Consider the following 20,896-nt stretch of genomic DNA (forward strand, 5'->3'; position numbering starts at 1 on the left):
ATTCATGACAGATACCAAACCACAGATCTAAGAAGCTCAGAAACATCAAGCGAAACACAAAAACAAACAAACGATTGATCAAAAATGTCACACCTAGGTATATCATTTTCAAACTGCTGAAAATAGAAGACAGGAAATCCCAAAGACAGCCAGGGAAAAAAGGCATATTATATTTTTTGGGAAAGGCAGGAGACTCCCAAAGAGTGATCAGAAACATTGTTCCACTGCCCCTTTAAAGGTCACCAACCTGAAATTTAAAAACAAATCTAGAATTGGCTTCACCAAACTTAGAGCAACCTATTTTGCACCAATCTGAAAACTTTCAGTAAAGTACCCTTTGACCACCAGGAATTCCAAAGCACAGGGAAGTGGCTTATTCAAAATCACCCAGGAAAACAACTCCCACACACACACAAGTACACTTCCGTCACCCACCCACATCTTCATCAACCTGCCTGCTCTGCCCACTGGCCCTGCCGGTAACATTTGTGCTGTCATCGCCCACAGGCCCTGCAGAGTTGGGATTGTAGAAGAGCACTGCCCCCAGAGACACATTCAACTTTGCGGGAGAAGGAGATTGAACATGTTTCCAGGCAGGGATAACCCACCCAAACTTCCAGAAACCAGTTAGAGGGTGTAGGCAGGGACTTTGCCACACACTGGTGTTCACAGAATTAGGGAGACCCTAATAAAGAGATGGGAAGGTTGGCCAGTGCTGCTGGCAATGTACTGTTAGCCAGCTTTGGGAAAATGCACTGTGCTTTCTCCACCACTGAGAGGAAGAGAGAGAGAGAGAGAGAGAGAAGCAAAACAAAGCAAAAACAATGGGGAAATGTTTTTAAAGTTTAAAGGCAAAGAGAAAAATAATGATGGCAGATTGGGTGGGAGAAATCATCAAGGATACAGTATGAAAAGACAGAACAAAATGAGTATGTGCTTGCAAAAGAAAAGCTAGATGCTAGACAGAGGAGAATTTAAAAATAAAATGTAAACCATGCAACAAAGCTATTAAATGATGGGAAACAGACATGAATTTGTGTAAGGAAGAGAAAGGGAGACGATGAGTCTGACAGCAAGAAAACTCGATGGGATATTTGTTGTGGAGGGAGAGTGCCAAGGACGGAAGGCAGAAAAAAGGGCGCTGGTCCTCAAGTACAGAAGTAGAATGGTCTTCTATCACAATCTCTTTTTACCTTAAATGTATTAAGAAAAAATTACTAATGAGCTCACAATGTATCAAGAAGTCAATGATTCAAATCATCTGCCACTGGGCACAGTGACTTATGCCTGTAATCCCAACACGCTGGAAGGCCGAGGCTGGAGGATCACTTGAGGCCAGGAGTTGGAGATCAGCCTAGGCAACAGAATGAGATCCTGTCTCTACATAATATTTTTAAAATTTGCTGAACGTGGTAGCACAGGCCTGTAGTCCCAGCTACTTGGGAGGCTGAGGCAGGAGGATCACTTGAGGCCAAGAGTTCGAGGTCACAGTGAGCCTATAGTCCCAGTGGGGAAGGGGTACAGCTTTCCCTCACTGCAGTCAATTCTCCACCTCATTTGTCCTCATATCAAATTCTGTACCTCTAACACTCATTATATATTTTAGGGAGACTAAGAAATCATATCCCTGGCTGGGCATGGTGGCTCACACCTGTAATCCCAACACTTTGGGAGGCCAAGCTGAGAGGATTGCTTGAGGCCAGGAGCTGGAGACCAGCCTAGGCAATATAGTAAGACTACGACTCAACAACAACAACAAAATGTTTAATTTTAAATATGTATATTAAAAAAAAAAAAAAAAAAGGCCTGGCATGGTGGCTCACACCTGTAACCCCAGCATTTTGGGAGGCTGAGGCAGGCAGATCATTTGAGGTCAGGAGTTCAAGACCAGCCTGGCTAACATGGTGAAACCCCATCTCTATTAAAAGTACAAAAAATTAGCCGGGCATGTGGCACACGCCTATAATCCCAGCTACTTGGGAAGCTGAGGCAGGAGAATCGCTTGAACCCAGGAGGCAGAGGTTGCAATGAGCCAAGAATGCACCACTGCACTCCAGCCCGGGCGACAGAGCTAGAAAACAAAAAAAAAATCTCATCCCCAACATAGTAACACAAAGGAGTTCACATCAGCAAAAAGGATCATCTGAAATTAGGCTTAGAGGTCAAACAGTCTGTCCTAATGCAGTGGGACCCAGAGGCCCCGACCACCAGTTAACATCACTGGAGCCTAGAGACGCTCCGGGGCCCGGCACTAGGAGGAGATGGCATCTACTGTTAGCTTGTTTTCACCTTGGCCTTAGCAGCTACTGGAAAGGTGACGGTTCTCCGGAAATTACAGAATGATTGCCTGGATTCTTTTTTCTTTTCAAACGAATGGAGGAAAAGGGATTTTCTCACTTGCTTGAGAGATTTCCTGTTACTAATTAGAACATTACAATCTTAAGAGGATGATAGGTGACCCAAGTCTGAATTTGAAACTCTTCAGGGACAACGCTCCTTCAGAAAGGAATGGGCAAGGGTGTTCTTTGGAATCCTCAGATTTCAATTGTGTATGACAGAACACAGGGTTACATTAGGGTTTTATGAGCAAGAGGATACAGTGTGGAGACACAGGGCTTTATGAGACCCAAATTACTATGAACATTTACTACACGTGGTATTACATTTTTACCTCGTATCTTCCAGATGCTGGGCCCTTGTTTCTTTCCTCGACAAATGCCTGGCTCCCCATTGAACTCAGGTGCCACACGTGTTGGGCAAATCTGTGGGGAATGTTCCAGTGAAGGTCCTGTCCCCACCTGCAGTGACAGGAGACAAGTGGGCCTCTGATGTGGGGAGAGAAGGGCGCTCCCTGAGTGAGCCTCCTGCCAGCAGCCCGGAGCCGGCCTCAGACTCCACTCTCCCAGGAGGCCAGCACTCCCCAAGTTCTAGGACCTTCCTGGCCAAAGCCTTAGCCTAGCAGCCTGTCCACTGAGGAACTGACTGGATCCTGAAAAAGGTCCTTGTCAAGCACCAATGAACTCCTCCTCCATTCATCAGGGTTTCCTTGGTGTTAAGGGTTGAACTGTATCCACCCCAAAAAATATATGTTGGAATCCTAACACCTAGCACTTCAGAAAGTGACCTGATTTGGAAATAGGGTCTTTACAGAGGTAAACAAGTTAAAGGGAGATCATTAGGTGGGCTCCGATCCAGTGTGACTGGTGTCCTCATAAAAAGGACCAACTTGTCACAGAGATGGGCACGCATAGAGGGAAGAGGAAGTGCAAAGACACAGGGAGACGAGAACCATCCCAGAGCCAAGAAGAGTCTGGAACAGATCCTTCCCTCACCAGCCTCAGACCGAGCCAACCCTGCTGACACCTTGAGTGTGGACTTCTGCCTCCAGAACAGTGAGACAATCAAGCTCTGTTGTCCAAGCCCCCTTGATTGTGGCATTTGTTACATCAGCCCTAGCAGATGAATACACTTGGCCTCCTCTCCTCTGAGACCCAGGCAGGTCAGGGCCAAGGGGGAGCTCATCTGCATCTGAGCCACCCATCTTTGGAGTGAGGGCAATGAACTCAAGCAGGGCCAGGCAGTGTTATTAGGAATATTATAGGTGGCTGGGTTCCTTAGGATGGATTGAGACCCTTGGTCCAAAATCTAAATGTAATAGAAACATATTACATGTTTGTTGTGTGTGTGCATGTGTGTGTGTCCCATAGGATAGTGGGTGTGAAATGGTTACCCAGGAGTTAAGGTCCCCAGGAGGGTCTTGTCTTGAACAAGGTCTTGTTCAGGGTGGTGTACAGGTGGTACCTGTATCATGACGTCCCTATGTCTACCCCACAGAATCATTCCTATTCAGTGTGGACCCCCGTCAAAAAGTAAATCCCTGCCAAAAATAGCAAAATATACATTTGCCCATAAAGAGAAATTAATATAAATATATTCAGCTCCTCTGAAGAAAATTTTCTATAGACATGAAGGGCAGCAGCTTTAGCTACGTGCCATGACTTAAATGATCAGTCACTTCTTTTAAAAATCTGTTAAGAAAGCTAACTTTTTAAAAAAGTTGTGGGGTAGGGGGCAGGCATGGTGGCTCATGCCTGTAATTCCAGCACTTTGGGAGGCCCTGGTAGGAAGATTGCTTGAGCCCAGGAGTTCAAGACCAGCCTGGGCAACATAGTGAGACTCTGTCTCTAGAAAAAAAAATTAAAATTAGCTGGGCATGGTAATGCACACCTGTGGTCCCAGCTACTCCGGAGGCTGAAGTGGAAGGATTGCTTAAGCTGGGGAGGTAGAGGCTGCAGTGAGCTGTGTTGGTGCCACTGCACTCCAGCCTGGGTGACAGAGTGAGACCCTGTCTAAAAAAAATAAAAATAAAAAAAGTCACAGACAAGGTTGTACTTGATCTTACCTGAAACAAAACAGAGAGAAGTAGGATTTTTAAAAAGCTAGCTGGGTTTTTATAAATGGAATTATATAGATAGATTTTCAAAAGACCAAATAGAAATAAGTATCTTGCATAGTGAGGGCTTCCCACATGTTTTTATTTCTCCTCAAGCTTCCCCCTCCCTCCCTGCACCTAAATCCGTTCCCGGCTAGAGTTGCTAGAAGAAAAATACAGGACACCTAGTCAAATTTGCATTTCAAGAAAAACAAGGAAAGCTTTTTCAAAGTGTAAGTACATCCCAAATACTTCATGGGACATGTTTATACTAAAAATTCATTTGTTGTTTATCTGAAATGCAAATTTAACTGGGCATCTTTTTTGGGGTGTGCTGGATCTGGAGACCCTCTTTCTGCCAGAACGCACGGGCTGTGTGAGGGGCGTCCTACTGAGGGTCGGGCTTGATGGCCCGGGTCGGTTATATCTGTCCCCCGGCTAGGAGAGGCTCTGAGGCAATAACTGCAGCTGTTCCCCTCCCCCAGGACGGGGGTCGGGGGTCGGGCCTTGGGGAGCCCCCTTAGGAGGCAAGGCGCTAGAAACTAGAGAAGCGACAGGGACCCTTTTTTTGCGTCTGAGTCCAAGGAGAAACAGCTGGGTCTAAGGGAGACGGTCGGGACTCTGGGTCTGACTCAACGAATGCCGGAGGCCACCCTGAGCTCCAGAGTGGTGGAGTCCGGGACGTGGCTGCGAGGGGTCTGTGGGAGCCGGGGGCACGGCAGCGTCGCTCCAGCCCCACTGGCCGGCCCGGGACTCCAAGAAGAGGCAGCGGATCTCCCAGTCCCTGACCAGCCTGGCCGGGCCCCGGTCGGCCACCTCGCGCCCCCTGGTGGCCACAGAGGGAGAAGCCGCCCGCTCATTTCTCCTGCTGCCGCTGGAATCCGGACTCCGGGGGCTGAGCGCCTGGACCGGAAGGAGGAAGGGAACACGGCAGAGTCCTCGGGGGAGCTAGGGCTTCGTGGGGCAGGAAGAAGACAGTGGCCGTTTCCACCGAAGACACCACGTGCAGTGTCTTCACAGGCAAAGCAATCCCAGCTGTGAATCCCACGGAGCACCTACCTGCTCACCAAATTCTGGTGGCAGAACGAAGCCTCCGGTTGACGTCCCCAGGGGAGATCCCCCGTCGCTCCTGAGAACACCTTTGCCGACTCCCCTCTGCAGGCATTAGGCCATTGGGGAACTGAATGCTTTCCTGGCCCCACCAGTTAGCCACCTTGTGTGATACGGAAATCTCATCTTTTCAAATATAAGACTTGTCAAGCTGTAGGAAAAATACATGTGAACATCCTCCTCACTCAGCAGTAACATCCTCAGGCTCTTGCAGCTAACCCAAAATGAAAAGATCGAGGTCTGAAGACTTGGTTTACATTATTCACACAATGATTTCATCCTCTTTCCCCTTCCCTCAAGGCTGTGGGAATGTTCTCTAAGAGGTGGAAGAATCCAGACTCAGGTGTTCTGAGTGAAAATCAAGGGCAAGGGTTGTGCTTACGCCCCACGCGGCTCTTCCCCCACCCCGCCCGTCCCCCAGCAAGTTAAGGGCAGAGTGGTCAGAGCCAACGCTGTATTCAAGATGGCTAATTTTATTGGTCAGTTTGGCCAGACCAAGGTACCCAGATACTTGGTCAAACATTGATCTGGATGTTGCTGTGAATGTATTTTTCAGATAAGAATAACATTTAAGGTGGGGCCGAGGCAGGAGGATTACTTGAGTCCAGGAATTCAAGACCAGCCTGGGCAACATATGAGACTGTCTCCACAAAAAATTTTAAAAATTAGCCAGGCATGGTGGCTCCACCTGTGGTTCCAAACTATTAACTGCTTGAGCCCGGGAGGTCGAGGCTGCAGTGAGCCGAGATTACACCACTGCCAGCCTGGGCGACAGAGTGAAACCCAATCTTCAAAGAGAGAGAGAAAGAGACATTTAAACCAGTAGATTGGGTAAATTACCCTCCATAATGTGGGTGGGTCTCACCCAATCAGTTAAAGGTCCTTTCCTTTTAAGAAAGGAGAAAGCTCGACCTTCCTGAGGAAGAGGGAATTCCGCCTCCAGGAGGCCTTTGGTTTTGAGACTGCAGCATCAGTTCTTCCCTGGGTCTCCAGCTTGCTGATCTACCCTTGAGATTTAGGACTCAATCTCCACAATCACATGAGCCAGTGCCTTAAAAAATCAATCAATCTGTCTCTACTGATAGAAAGATCTATTATCTATCTATAGAGAGAGGGACATCTATATGTCTATATGGATAGATTATCCATCTAGAGAAATAGAGGGAGATTTATTAATAGGAGATATATATACATCCGTGTGTGTGTGTTTATCTGTCAATCTCCTGTCGGTTCGATTTATCTGGAGAGCCCTGACTGAAGGTCCTTAGGGCCTTGGCATCAGCTCAGCCCAGGACCATTCCCCTCACCCACTCCAGAGCATGGCTCTAGCAATCCCTATCTCCTGCCTTATCACCTTCCCTTTCCAGTGGGTGATTTCCTTCTGCAGAAAACAACTGTTGTTTCTCTCATTCTTGAAAATCTTGACCCCACTTCTCTTCCAGCTACTACTAGTTTTTGTTTTGTTTTTTGTCCTGTCTGCAACAAAATTCCTCTAAAAAGTCTGTACTTTCTCCAAGTTCTCTCCTCCAATTCTCTGTCATTTTATTGTGAAATATAGCACACACAGAGAAAAAGGGCAAAACCAGAAACATACAGTTTGATGATTTCTCCAAAACCCTTACAACCGCCAACCAGATCAAGAAATAGCACATTGGCAAGAGTTCAGAAGCCTTCCTCATGCCCCCTCCCAGTGTCCACCCCATCTGCCCCTAAGGGTAAACACCATCCTGACCTTCATGATAATCAGTTCCTTGATTTATTTTTTTTGTACCATCTAGGCATGCATCCCCAAACGCTGTACTTCATTGTTACCCATTTTTTGATCTTCAGATAATGAAATAACACAAGGAGTCATCTGTAAAATTTACCCATGTCAACATGTATAACTGCATTTCATTTGTTTTTGTTAAATTGTAGAATCTTTTTGTTGTTGTTGTTGCTGTTGTTGTTGTTTTGTTTTGAGACGGAGTCTCGCTCTGTCACCCAGGCTGGAGTGCAATGGCACGATCTTGGCTCACTGCAACCTCCGCCTCCCGGGTTCAAGCGATTTTTCCTGCCTCAGCCTCCCGAGTAGCTGGGACTACAGGCCCCCGCCACCAGGCCCGGCTAATTTTTGTATTTTTAGTAGAGATGGGGTTTCACCATGTTGGCCAGGCTGGTCTCGAACTCCTGACTTTGTGATCCACCCCCCACCCCCACCCCACCCCCTTGGCTTCCCAAAGTGCTGGGATTACAGGCATCAGCCACCATGCCCGGCCAGTACTTTGTGGAATCTTAATGCATTATTTATCCACTGCTGCATAATGTATTACCCCAAAACATAGCAGCTTTAGACTAACGTTTATTATTTCACATACGTTCTGAAAGTCAGGAATCTGAGAGTGGCTTAGCTGGGTGCTCTGGCCCAGGGTCCTCTCATGCAGTTGCAGCAAAGCTGCTGCCTGAGGCTGTCGTCTCTGAAGACTTAACTGGGGCTAAAGGAGCCTCTTCCAAACTCACTCCCAAGCCTGTTGACAGACTTGGGTTCCTCACTACTTGGGCCTCTCCATAGGGCTGCTCATGACATAGATTCCCCAGAGCAAATAAGCCAAGAGACAGAGTGTGAGTGACAGAGCTCCCAAGATGGAAGCTGTAATGTCACGTTGCCTGTCACGTGGCACAGCATCACTGCTGCCCACAAGCCACTGGTCACGTAGGAGAACCCTGGCCCACATGGGAGGGAACCACATGAAGATGTGAGCACCAGGAGGCAGGAATCATCTGAAAGGCTGCCTACCACAACCCTTGGATAAACACAGAAAAATGTACCCATTCTTTTAGTGGTAAACATTTAGGCTGTTTCTAGTTTAGGGCTATTGTGATAGAGCTTCTGTGAACATTCTTGTTCATGTCTATTGGTGCATACGTGCACGCATTTCTTTCGGGTAAATATCTAGAAGTGTAACTAACGGCAAACTGTTTTACAAAGTGATCCACAAATGTACACACCCTCCAGGAATATATGAGATTTCCAGTTGTTACATGTTCTCAATTCCACTTGATATGGTCCATCCCTTTAACTTCAGCCATTCTGGTGAGCTTGAATTAATAGCTCATCGTGGCTTCAATTTGCGTGTCCCTGATGGATAAAGAGCTTGAACAGCTTTTCATGTATTTCTTGGCCATTAGGATATGCTGTCTTGGGACATGCAGTAGACGTGGAGCTAGGGCGTTCAAGTCTTCCTTCCAGCAAGGACTTGCAGCCCAGCTGTGGGGAGTGTGGTTTGCAGACGGTCACCAGCTCCTTCAGGTTCTGCCCGAACAGCAGAGAACCACCTTGTCCAAGGTCATGCTCTTCCTGAGTATGACTGAGTGTTGAATGAGCAAGGGAAGGCCAAAGCACAGCCGTTCAGCCTGAATGGGGCGGATTGATAAGCAATTCCACTCCCAAGCCCCACCAGGTTGGCCCAAGCTGTGCTAGGCTACATCGCAGTTCAACTCCTTTCTCTGCTCCATCCTGCTTCTTCCCTCTTTGTTCACAATAAACATCTTGATTCCTAATAAACATCTTGCACCGCAAACTCCTTTCCAGGGTCTGCTTCTGAAGAAATCCATCTGCGGTGTGAAGTGCCTTTTTGAAAAAAAGGCCTATTGCCCGTCTTCCTGTGGGGTTGTCTAGTTTTTTTCTTACCAATTTGCTGCTTTTTGTTTAGTGTGGATACAAGTCCTTTGTCAATTACATGTGTGGCAAATATCTTCTCTCACTATGTGTCTTGCCTTGTTAATTTCTTTATTGTGTCTTTGAAGAACAAAAGGTCTTCATTTAGATGTAATTCAATTTATCAATTTATTTCTTTTCTATATACGTTCTTTGTATCCTGTTTAAGAAATATTTTCCTATCCTAAGGTTATGAATGTATTCTCCTATATTATATTCTAAAAGCTTTTATTGTTTTGCCTTTCAGATTTACATTTATACACCACCTGGAATTAATTGTTTCATAAGGCGTGAGGCTGGGACCATGTAACATTTTTTTCCCAATTGGATATGCTATTGCCCCAGCACTATATTTCGAAAATGCCTTCTTTCCCCATGGTGCTGTAATGCCAACTCGTCCCGTACATCAAGTGTGAGTCTGCCCACATATGTGGGTCTGTTTCTGGATTTCCATTCTATATCATTGGCCTATCTGTTTTTGTCCCAATACCACACAGTCCAATACCCATTGGTTTTTTTCCCCAATTTTTAAAAGTGTGGTAAAATACACACAACATAAAATTCACCATCTTAACTGGGTTTAAGAGTACAGTTCAGGCCTGGCGCGGTGGCTCACGCCTGTAATCCCAGCACTTTGGGAGGCCGAGGCGGGCAGATCACTTGACGTCAGGAGTTCAAGACCAGCCTGGCCAACATGATGAAACCCCATCTCTACTAAAAATACAAGAATTAGCCAAGTATGGTGGTGCGTGCCTGTAATCCCAGCTACTTGGGAGGCTGAGGCAGGAGAATCACTTGAACTTGGGAGGCAGAGGTTGCAGTGAGCCGAGATTGCACCATTGCACTCCAGCCTGGACAACAAGAGCAAAACTCGGTCTCAAAATTAAATAAATAAATAAATAAGTACAGTTCAGTGGTATTAAATACATTCATAACGTGCAATCATCACCACATCCACTTCCAGAACTCTTTTCATCTTGTGAAACTGAAACTCTACACCAGTTAAACACTAACGCCCCATTCCTCCTCCCATCCCAGCAACCACCATTCTGTTTTCTCTCTATGAATTTGACTACTCTGAGTACCTCATGTAAGTGGGATCATACAGTATTTGTCTCTTTGTGACTGGTGTATTCACTTAACATAATGTTTAGCATAATGTCCTCAAGGTTCATCTGTGTTTTAGCATGTATCATAATTTCTTTCCTTTTTAAGGATGAATAATATTGCATTGTATATCTATATCACGTTTTGTTTTATTTATTCATCTATCGATGGACACTTAGGTTGCTCCGCATTTTAGCTATTGTAAATAATGCTGATATAAACAGGTATACACATATCTCTTTGAGACCCTGCTTTTAGTTCTTTTGGGTATATACTCAGAAGTAGAGTTGCTGGACCATATATCCTACGGTACCTCTAATTTTAATTTTTTGAGGAACCACCATACTACTTTCTAAAGCAGGCACACCATTTTACATTTCCAGTAATATTTCACAAAAGTTCCAGTTTTTCCACATTGTCATGAATACCTGTTATTTTCTGGGTTTTTTTTTTTTTTTTGGTAGTAGCCATCGTATTGGGTGTGAGATGTTATCTCATTGTGATTTTGATTTGTATTTCCATAATTATTAGTGATGTTGAGCATCTTTTCATTTGCTTATTGGTCATTTGTATATCTTCTTTGGAGAAATTTCTATTCGAGTCCTTTACCCATTTTTTAATCAGGTGGGTTTGTTGTTGTTGTTATTGTGTTGAGTTTTAGGAGTTCACTAAATATTCTGGATAGTAATCTTTTATCAGATAAGTGATTTGCAAATATTTTCACCCATTCTATGGGTTGCCTTTTTATTCTGTTGATAGTGTCTTTTAATGCACAAATTTTTTTAATTTTCATGAAGTCCAGTCTATTTTTTATTTTATTGCTCATGCTTTTTATGTTGTATCCAAGAAATAATTGTCAAATCCAATGTCATAAAACTTTTGCCCTATGTTTTCTTCTAAGAGTGTTATAGTTTTAGGTCTTTCATTCAGGTCTTTGATACTTTTGAGTTAATTTCTGTATGTGGTCTGAGGTAATGGTCTACCTTCATTCTTTTGCATGCAAATATCCAGTTTTGCCAGCACCATTTGTTAAAAAGACTGTCATTCTCCGTTGAATGATCTAGGCACCCTTGTGAAAAAAATATTTTACCATATATGTAAGGTGTATTTCTGGGCTCTCTATTCTATTCCATCAGTCTATATGTCTGTCTTTATACCGGCACCACACTGTTTTTTTTTTGTTGGTTTTTTTTTTTTCACTTTCTTTTTTTTTTTTAATTTATTTTTTTATTATTATACTTTAAGTTTTAGCGTACATGTGCACATTGTGCAGGTTAGTTACATACGTATACATGTGCCATGCTGGTGTGCTGCACCCACTAACTCGTCATCTAGCATTAGGTATATATCCCAATGCTATCCCTCCCCCCTCCCCCCACCCCACAACAGTCCCCAGAGTGTGATATTCCCCTTCCTGTGTCCATGTGATCTCATTGTTCAATTCCCACCTATGAGTGAGAATATGCGGTGTTTGGTTTTTTGTTCTTGCGATAGTTTACTGAGAATGATGGTTTCCAATTTCATCCATGTCCCTACAAAGGACATGAACTCATCATTTTTTATGGCTGCATAGTATTCCATGGTGTATATGTGCCACATTTTCTTAATCCAGTCTATCATTGTTGGACATTTGGGTTGGTTCCAAGTCTTTGCTATTGTGAATAATGCTGCAATAAACATACGTGTGCATGTGTCTTTATACCAGCATGATTTATAATCCTTTGGGTATATACCCAGTAATGGGATGGCTGGGTCAAATGGTATTTCCAGTTCTAGATCCCTGAGGAATCGCCACGCTGACTTCCACAATGGTTGAACTAGTTTACAGTCCCACCAACAGTGTAAAAGTGTTCCTATTTCTCCACATCCTCTCCAGCACCTGTTGTTTCCTGACTTTTTAATGATTGCCATTCTAACTGGTGTGAGATGGTATCTCATTGTGGTTTTGATTTGCATTTCTCTGATGGCCAGTGATGGTGAGCATTTTTTCATGTGTTTTTTGGCTGCATAAATATCTTCTGTTGAGAAGTGTCTGTTCATGTCCTTCACCCACTCTTTGATGGGGTTGTTTGTTTTTTTCTTGTAAATTTGTTTGAGTTCATTGTAGATTCTGGATATTAGCCCTTTGTCAGATGAGTAGGTTGCAAAAATTTTCTCCCATTTTGTAGGTTGCCTGTTCACTCTGATGGTAGTTTCTTTTGCTGTGCAGAAGCTCTTTAGTTTAATTAGATCCCATTTGTCAATTTTGGCTTTTGTTGCCATTGCTTTTGGTGTTTTAGACATGAAGTCCTTGCCCATGCCTATGTCCTGAATGGTAATGCCTAGATTTTCTTCTAGGGTTTTTATGGTTTTAGGTCTAACGTTTAAGTCTTTAATCCATCTTGAATTGATTTTTGTATAAGTTGTAAGGTAGGGATCCAGTTTCAGCTTTCTACATATGGCTAGCCAGTTTTCCCAGCACCATTTATGAAATAGGGAATCCTTTCCCCATTTCTTGTTTTTGTCAGGTTTCTCAAAGATCAGATAGTTGTAGATATGTGGCGTTATTTCTGAGGGCTCTGTTCTGTTCCATTGATCTATATCTCTGTTTTGGTACCAGTACCATGCTGTTTTGGTTACTGTAGCCTTGTAGTATAGTTTGAAGTCAGGTAGTGTGATGCCTCCAGCTTTGTTCTTTTGGTTTAGGATTGACTTGGCGATGCGGGCTCTTTTTTGGTTCCATATGAACTTTAAAGTAGTTTTTTCCAATTCTGTGAAGAAAGGCATTGGTAGCTTGATGGGGATGGCATTGAATCTGTAAATTACCTTGGGCAGTATGGCCATTTTCACGATATTGATTCTTCCTACCCATGAGCATGGAATGTTCTTCCATTTGTTTGTATCCTCTTTTATTTCCTTGAGCAGTGGTTTGTAGTTCTCCTTGAAGAGGTCCTTCACATCCCTTGTAAGTTGGATTCCTAGGTATTTTATTCTCTTTGAAGCAATTGTGAATGGGAGTTCACTCATGATTTGGCTCTCTGTTTCTCTGTTGTTGGTGTATAGGAATGCTTGTGATTTTTGTACATTGATTTTGTATCCTGAGACTTTGCTGAAGTTGCTTATCAGCTTAAGGAGATTTTGGGCTGAGAAAATGGGGTTTTCTAGATATACAATCATGTCATCTGCAAACAGGGACAATTTGACTTCCTCTTTTCCTAATTGAATACCCTTTATTTCCTTCTCCTGCCTAATTGCCCTGGCCAGAACTTCCAACACTATGTTGAATAGAAGTGGTGAGAGAGGGCATCCCTGTCTTGTGCCAGTTTTCAAAGGGAATGCTTCCAGTTTTTGCCCATTCAGTATGATATTGGCTGTGGGTTTGTCATAGATAGCTCTTATTATTTTGAAATATGTCCCATCAATACCTAATTTATTGAGAGTTTTTAGCATGAACGGTTGTTGAATTTTGTCAAAGGCCTTTCCTGCATCTATTGAGATAATCATGTGGTTTTTGTCTTTGGCTCTGTTTATATGCTGGATTACATTTATTGATTTGCGTATATTGAACCAGCCTTGCATCCCAGGGATGAAGCCCACTTGATCATGGTGGATAAGCTTTTTGATGTGCTGCTGGATTCGGTTTGCCAGTATTTTATTGAGGATTTTTGCATCAATGTTCATCAAGGATATTGGTCTAAAATTCTCTTCTTTGGTTGTGTCTCTGCCCGGCTTTGGTATCAGAATGATGCTGGCCTCATAAAATGAGTTAGGGAGGATTCCCTCTTTTTCTATTGATTGGAATAGTTTCAGAAGGAATGGTACCAGTTCCTCCTTGTACCTCTGGTAGAATTCGGCTGTGAATCCATCTGGTTCTGGACTCTTTTTGGTTGGTAAGCTATTGATTATTGCCACAATTTCAGATCCTGTTATTGGTCTATTCAGAGATTCAACTTCTTCCTGGTTTAGTCTTAGGAGAGTGTATGTGTCAAGGAATTTATCCATTTCTTCTAGATTTTCTAGTTTATTTGCGTAGAGGTGTTTGTAGTATTCTCTGATGGTAGTTTGTATTTCTGTGGGATCGGTGGTGATATCCCCTTTATCATTTTTTATTGCGTCCGTTTGATTCTTCTCTCTTTTTTTCTTTATTAGTCTTGCTAGCGGTCTATCAATTTTGTTGATCCTTTCAGAAAACCAGCTCCTGGATTCATTAATTTTTTGAAGTGTTTTTTGTGTCTCTATTTCCTTCAGTTCTGCTCTGATTTTAGTTATTTCTTGCCTTCTGCTAGCTTTTGAATGTGTTTGCTCTTGCTTTTCTAATTCTTTTAATTGTGATGTTAGGGTGTCAATTTTGGATCTTTCCTGCTTTCTCTTGTGGGCATTTAGTGGTATAAATTTCCCTCTACACACTGCTTTGAATGCGTCCCAGAGATTCTGGTATGTTGTGTCTTTGTTCTCGTTGGTTTCAAAGAACATCTTTATTTCTGCCTTCATTTCGTTATGTACCCAGTAGTCATTCAGGAGCAGGTTGTTCAGTTTCCATGTAGTTGAGCGGTTTTGAGTGAGATTCTTAATCCTGAGTTCTAGTTTGATCGCACTGTGGTCTGAGAGATAGTTTGTTATAATTTCTGTTCTTTTACATTTGCTGAGGAGAGCTTTACTTCCAACTATGTGGTCAATTTTGGAATAGGTGTGGTGTGGTGCTGAAAAAAATGTATATTCTGTTGATTTGGGGTGGAGAGTTCTGTAGATGTCTATTAGGTCCACTTGGTGCAGAGCTGAGTTCAATTCCTGGGTATCCTTGTTGACTTTCTGTCTCGTTGATCTGTCTAATGTTGACAGTGGGGTGTTAAAGTCTCCCATTATTAATGTGTGGGAGTCTAAGTCTCTTTGTAGGTCACTCAGGACTTGCTTTATGAATCTGGGTGCTCCTGTATTGGGTGCATATATATTTAGGATAGTTAGCTCTTCTTTTTGAATTGATCCCTTTACCATTATGTAATGACCTTCTTTGTCTCTTTTGATCTTTGTTGGTTTAAAGTCTGTTTTATCAGAGACTAGGATTGCAACCCCTGCCTTTTTTTGTTTTCCATTTGCTTGGTAGATCTTCCTCCATCCTTTTATTTTGAGCCTATGTGTGTCTCTGCACGTGAGATGGGTTTCCTGAATACAGCACACTGATGGGTCTTGACTCTTTATCCAATTTGCCAGTCTGTGTCTTTTAATTGGAGCATTTAGTCCATTTACATTTAAAGTTAATAGTGTTATGTGTGAATTTGATCCTGTCATTATGATGTTAGCTGGTTATTTTGCTCGTTAGTTGATGCAGTTTCTTCCTAGTCTCGATTGTCTTTACATTTGGGCATGATTTTGCAGCGGCTGGTACCAGTTGTTCCTTTCCATTTTAGCGCTTCCTTCAGGAGCTCTTTTAGGGCAGGCCTGGTGGTGACAAAATCTCTCAGCATTTGCTTGTCTGTAAAGGATTTTATTTCTCCTTCACTTTTGAAGCTTAGTTTGGCTGGATATGAAATTCTGGGTTGAAAATTCTTTTCTTTAAGAATGTTGAATATTGGCCCCCACTCTCTTCTGGCTTGTAGGGTTTCTGCCGAGAGATCCGCTGTTAGTCTGATGGGCTTCCCTTTGTGGGTAACCCGACCTTTCTCTCTGGCTGCCCTTAACATTTTTTCCTTCATTTCAACTTTGGTGAATCTGACAATTATGTGTCTTGGAGTTGCTCTTCTCGAGGAGTATCTTTGTGGCGTTCTGTGTATTTCCTGAATCTGAACGTTGGCCTGCCTTGCTAGATTGGGGAAATTCTCCTGGATAATATCCTGCAGAGTGTTTTCCAACTTGGTTCCATTCTCCCCATCACTTTCAGGTACACCAATCAGACGTAGATTTGGTCTTTTCACATAGTCCCATATTTCTTGGAGGCTTTGCTCGTTTCTTTTTATTCTTTTTTCTCTAAACTTTCCTTCTCGCTTCATTTCATTCATTTCATCGTCCACTGCTGATACCCTTTCTTCCAGTTGATCACATCGGCTCCTGAGGTTTCTGCATTCTTCACATAGTTCTCGAGCCTTGGTTTTCAGCTCCATCAGCTCCTTTAAGCACTTCTCTGTATTGGTTATTCTAGTTATACATTCTTCTAAATTTTTTTCAAAGTTTTCAACTTCTTTGCCTTTGGTTTGAATGTCCTCCCGTAGCTCAGAGTAATTTGATCGTCTGAAGCCTTCTTCTCTCAGCTCGTCAAAGTCATTCTCCGTCCAGCTTTGTTCCGTTGCTGGTGAGGAGCTGCGTTCCTTTGGAGGAGGAGAGGCGCTCTGATTTTTAGAGTTTCCAGTTTTTCTGTTCTGTTTTTTCCCCATCTTTGTGGTTTTATCTACTTTTGGTCTTTGATGATGGTGATGTACAGATGGGTTTTTGGTGTGGATGTCCTTTCTGTTTGTTAGTTTTCCTTCTAACAGACAGGACCCTCAGCTGCAGGTCTGTTGGAGTACCCTGCAGTGTGAGGTGTCAGTGTGCCCCTGCTGGAGAGTGCCTCCCAGTTAGGCTGCTCGGGGGTCAGGGGTCAGGGACCCACTTGAGAAGGCAGTCTGCCCGTTCTCAGATCTCCAGCTGCGTACTGGGAGAACCACTGCTCTCTTCAAAGCTGTCAGACAGGGACATTTAAGTCTGCAGAAGTTACTGCTGTCTTTTTGTTTGTCTGTGCCCTGCCCCCAGAGGTGGAGCCTACAGAGGCATGCAGGCCTCCTTGAGCTGTGGTGGGCTCCACCCAGTTCGAGCTTCCCGGCTGCTTTGTTTACCTAAGCAGGCCTGGGCAATGGTGGGCGCCCCTCCCCGTGCCTGGCTGCCGCCTTGCTGTTTGATCTCAGACTGCTGTGCTAGCAATCAGCGAGACTCCGTGGGGTAGGACCCTCCGAGCCTGGTGGGGGATATAATCTCGTGGTGCGCCGTTTTTTAAGCCGGTCGGAAAAGCGCAGTATTCGGGTGGGAGTGACCCGATTTTCCCGATTTTCCAGGTGCTGTCCGTCACCCCTTTCTTTGATTAGGAAAGGGAACTCCCTGACCCCTTGCGCTTCCCGAGTGAGGCAATGCCTCGCCCTGCTTTGGCTCGTGCACGGTGCGCGCACCCACTGACCTGTGCCCACTGTCTGGCACTCCCTAGTGAGATGAACCCGGTACCTCAGATGGAAATGCAGAAATCACCCGTCTTCTGCGTCACTCAGGCTGGGAGCTGTAGACCGGAGCTGTTCCTATTCGGCCATCTTGGCCCACTCTGTTTTTATTATGTAGCTTTGTATTTCGTTTTGAAATCAGGAACGTGAATCCCCCAGCTTTGTTCTTCATTTTCAAGATTGTTTTGGCTGTTCAGGGTTCCTTGAAATTCCATATGAATTTTAAGATGATTTTTTCTACTCCTACAAAAAGGTTACTAGATTTTGATAGGGATTGCATTGAATATGTAGATTACTTTTGATAGTATTGACATCTTAATAATTTTGTCTTTCAACCCAATTTTTTTCAGCAATGTTTTGTAGATTTCATTGTATAAGTATTTCACCTCTTTGATTGATTCCTAAGTATTTTATTCTTTTTTTATTATTATTATTTTTTTTTTTAGATAGGGTCTTGCTCTATTGCCCAGGCTGGAGTGCAGTGGCACAATCTTGGCTCACTGCAACCTCCATCTCCTGCGTTCAAGCAATTCTCCTGCCTCAGTCCCCCAAGTAGCTGGCATTACAGGTGCCCACGACCACATCCGGCTAATTTTTGTATTTTTAATAGAGATGGGGTTTCACCATATTGGCCAGGCTGGTCTCAAGCTCCTGACCTCAAGTGATCCACCCACCATTCTTTTTGATGTTACTGTAAATATAATCACGTTAGTCCATTTCCATGCTGCTAGTAAAGACATACCTGAGACTGGGTAATTTTTACAGAAAAAGAGGTTTAATTTTGAGGAAAAAGAGGTTTAATGGACTCACAGTTCCACGTGGCTGGGGAGGCCTCACAATCATGGTGGAAGGTGAAAGGCACATCTTACATGGCAGCAGGCAAGAGAGAATGAGAGCCAAGAGAAAGAGGAAATCTCTTATAAAACCATCAGATCTCATGAGACTTACTCACTATCACAAGAACAGGATAGGGGAAACTGCCCCCATGATTCAATTATCTTCCACTGGGTCCTTCCTACAACACGTGGGAATTATGGGAGCTACAATTCAAGATGAGATTTGGGTGGGGACACAGCCAAACCATATCAATAATTTTTGTAATTTCCTTTTCAGATTTTCATTGTTAATGTATAGAAATGCAACTGAATTTTTATGTGTTGACTTTGTATCCTGCTACTTTGCTGAATCATGTATTGGGTCTAACAGTTTTTTCTTTTTGTGTGTGGAATCATTAGGTTTTTCTGCACATAAGGTGATAACATCTGTGAACAGAGATAATTTACTTCTCTCTTTCCAACTTGGATGCCATTTCTTTCTTTTTCTCACCTAATTGCTCTGGCTAGAATTTCCAGTACTATGTTGAATAGAAATGGTGAAAGTGGGCATCCTTGCCTTGTTCCTGACCTTAGAGAAAAAGCTCTCAGTCTTTCACCATTGACCATTATGTTCACTTTGTATTTTTTATATATTGGTTTTATTAATTCTCATTCTCTTTTAATCCCACTTAGATGGGCCAAATAAAAAGGCCTAAGAATATTAACTTCAGGTTGATTTTTCTGCAATCAGCAGGAATCTAGTCATGCTGGAGTGGGTCTGTGGTCTCACAGCAAAAATGCTGTCTGTAAATGGTCCTCTAGGTTTAGAGAAATCAGAGAAAGACCATCAGTTCTTTCACCAATATCCCTGAATTTTGCTGTGGTTTATATGCTAATTTGAGCACAAGTGTTCACCTGTACCACAGGCTCCTCCCCCACCCTGCCCCAGCTCTGTATCATCCTTAATTGCTCAGCAGCAGAGATATGCTGGCTCTCAGGGGTCAGGGATTTCAGCTTCAGAGGTGTTGGATGACTTGCACACAGTAGGCTGGAGAAATTATCATGATGCCAACTGGGTCACTAGGCTAGGTTGCCTTGCCCAGGCAGAAAGCCACAGGTTATACCCCAGACACTGGGCAATGATCCAGTTGCTCTTTGAAGCAGAAACTTTGCCTGTTCTTAGGATAAGAGCACTTCCCAGCAAATTTCTGTCTCCAGAGGTGACATCCAAGAAGTAACTGTAATGAAGTCCTTGTCCATCAACTCTTCCACCATGGGTGCACATGTGAATAAATAGTAGACTATTTAGACTGAATGGGAAAGGCTTATTGGCAGCAATAGGAGGAATCTAACCTTCAAATATTCATTCTGCTAGCTCAGAATGCCTGCTCAAATTTCAATTCAATAAATATATGCCATCCAGCGAGTTAGACTTCAGCAACTTTCAGAGTTCCCACACTGGTGGGAAACAGAAGCAAATGCAAAAAATTCAGGCAGGCTGTAAGCACTGTCCTGGAAAATTCCAAAGTGTTTTCATCTTATTGTGTGTTGCTATATTGCTGGGATGCATTTTAGTAACTGGAAGGCAGCAGAAAAGATTTGCAAGAAGAAATTTTAGAGTGCTCGAAGTTAAACCTAATAGTCATTTCTAGAAATCCATTCTTCACAGAACGGATGTCTTCATTTTCCCTCAGCTTCCGCCCTCAGTCCTGACGTAAAAAGTAATATTTAAATACAATCAAAGAAATTCTCCAAGAAACACATATTTGGCCCAGTGAGAAGCCTGCTAAGGTTTAGAATTAGAACCTCAAATAGATCCTTTAGAATCCCCACTCAGTAGAAAAAAGAGGGTGAATAGATGCAAGGAAGACAGACTGGGCAGTCTATGCCACCATCTTGGCCTCGTAAGGTCAAAGATTGGACACCCAGGGGATCAAGCCCTGCTCTACCTCTAGGTAATCACATTCAAGGCTGGGGAAGAATGTATTGCTTCTGTCAAGGCAGTTACCTAGAACTGTAACACTTTGAATCACTTTTCTTCAGCAAGCATAAGCTGCACCACTTTAGATTGGGATGGATCTTAAAGGTCCCTTTGCGCGCGCGCGCGTGTGTGTGTGTGTGTGTTAAAGACAGAGTCTAGCTCTGTTGTCCAGGCTGCAGTGCAGTGGTGCAAACACAGCTCATGGGAGCCTCGACCTCCTGGGCTCAAGTGATCCTCCCACCTCAGCCTCCCAAAGTGCTGGAACTATAGGTGCATGCCACCATGCCTGGTCCCCCTTCACCCTTTTGGCTAAGATGAAGTCACCTAACCTGGAAGCCCACATATCTTGGCACAATGGGATCTCATTTCAACACAGCATGGGGGTTCTGAGATAGAGGGAGGGATCTGACTCAAGTATAACCATGGGCCCATTCTCCAAGAACATTAGTGGCTGTGGTGGGCTATGATAGAGCAGGTGGTCACACTAGACCTGATCTGGCCAGCTTCCACTTTAATAAGGGCTGCGTGTGTGTGTGTGTGTGTGTGTGTGTGTGTGTGTGTGTGTGTGTGTGTGTGTTGGTTTCCTTCCTGACCTTCCAA

At 43.7% G+C, this 20,896-nt stretch overlaps 1 protein-coding gene across 1 annotated transcript in view, besides 4 other annotated features; it reads right to left on the minus strand.

The window, feature by feature from the left end:
- The window catches only part of SCML4 (Scm polycomb group protein like 4), a 143,885-nt gene extending 140,997 nt beyond the window's left edge, over window positions 1-2,888 (minus strand). Inside the window, exon 1 of the mRNA XM_047418598.1 lies at window positions 2,672-2,888. The gene's annotated coding sequence lies outside the window, so the exon portion shown is untranslated. The remainder of the gene's footprint in view (window positions 1-2,671) is intronic.
- Window positions 5,035-5,329: a silencer, noted in NCBI's record as "tiled region #13974; HepG2 Repressive non-DNase unmatched - State 4:PromP, and K562 Repressive non-DNase unmatched - State 4:PromP". NCBI's record gives its function as "represses a minimal TATA promoter and a strong SV40 promoter by Sharpr-MPRA in HepG2 and K562 cells {active_cell/tissue: HepG2 | K562}" and the evidence as "EXISTENCE:reporter gene assay evidence [ECO:0000049][PMID:27701403]".
- Window positions 5,101-5,200: a silencer, noted in NCBI's record as "silent region_17444". NCBI's record gives its function as "represses an Ori minimal core promoter by ATAC-STARR-seq in GM12878 lymphoblastoid cells {active_cell/tissue: GM12878}" and the evidence as "EXISTENCE:reporter gene assay evidence [ECO:0000049][PMID:35858748]".
- Window positions 16,765-17,334: an enhancer, noted in NCBI's record as "H3K27ac-H3K4me1 hESC enhancer chr6:108181119-108181688 (GRCh37/hg19 assembly coordinates)". NCBI's record gives its function as "activates a minimal SCP1, AML or CMV promoter by ChIP-STARR-seq in naive H9 embryonic stem cells {active_cell/tissue: H9 hESC(naive)}" and the evidence as "EXISTENCE:reporter gene assay evidence [ECO:0000049][PMID:30033119]".
- Window positions 17,335-17,904: an enhancer, noted in NCBI's record as "H3K27ac-H3K4me1 hESC enhancer chr6:108181689-108182258 (GRCh37/hg19 assembly coordinates)". NCBI's record gives its function as "activates a minimal SCP1, AML or CMV promoter by ChIP-STARR-seq in primed H9 embryonic stem cells {active_cell/tissue: H9 hESC(primed)}" and the evidence as "EXISTENCE:reporter gene assay evidence [ECO:0000049][PMID:30033119]".

This window comes from Homo sapiens, chromosome 6 (assembly GCF_000001405.40).
Source record: "Homo sapiens chromosome 6, GRCh38.p14 Primary Assembly".
Classification (NCBI taxonomy): domain Eukaryota; kingdom Metazoa; phylum Chordata; class Mammalia; order Primates; family Hominidae; genus Homo; species Homo sapiens.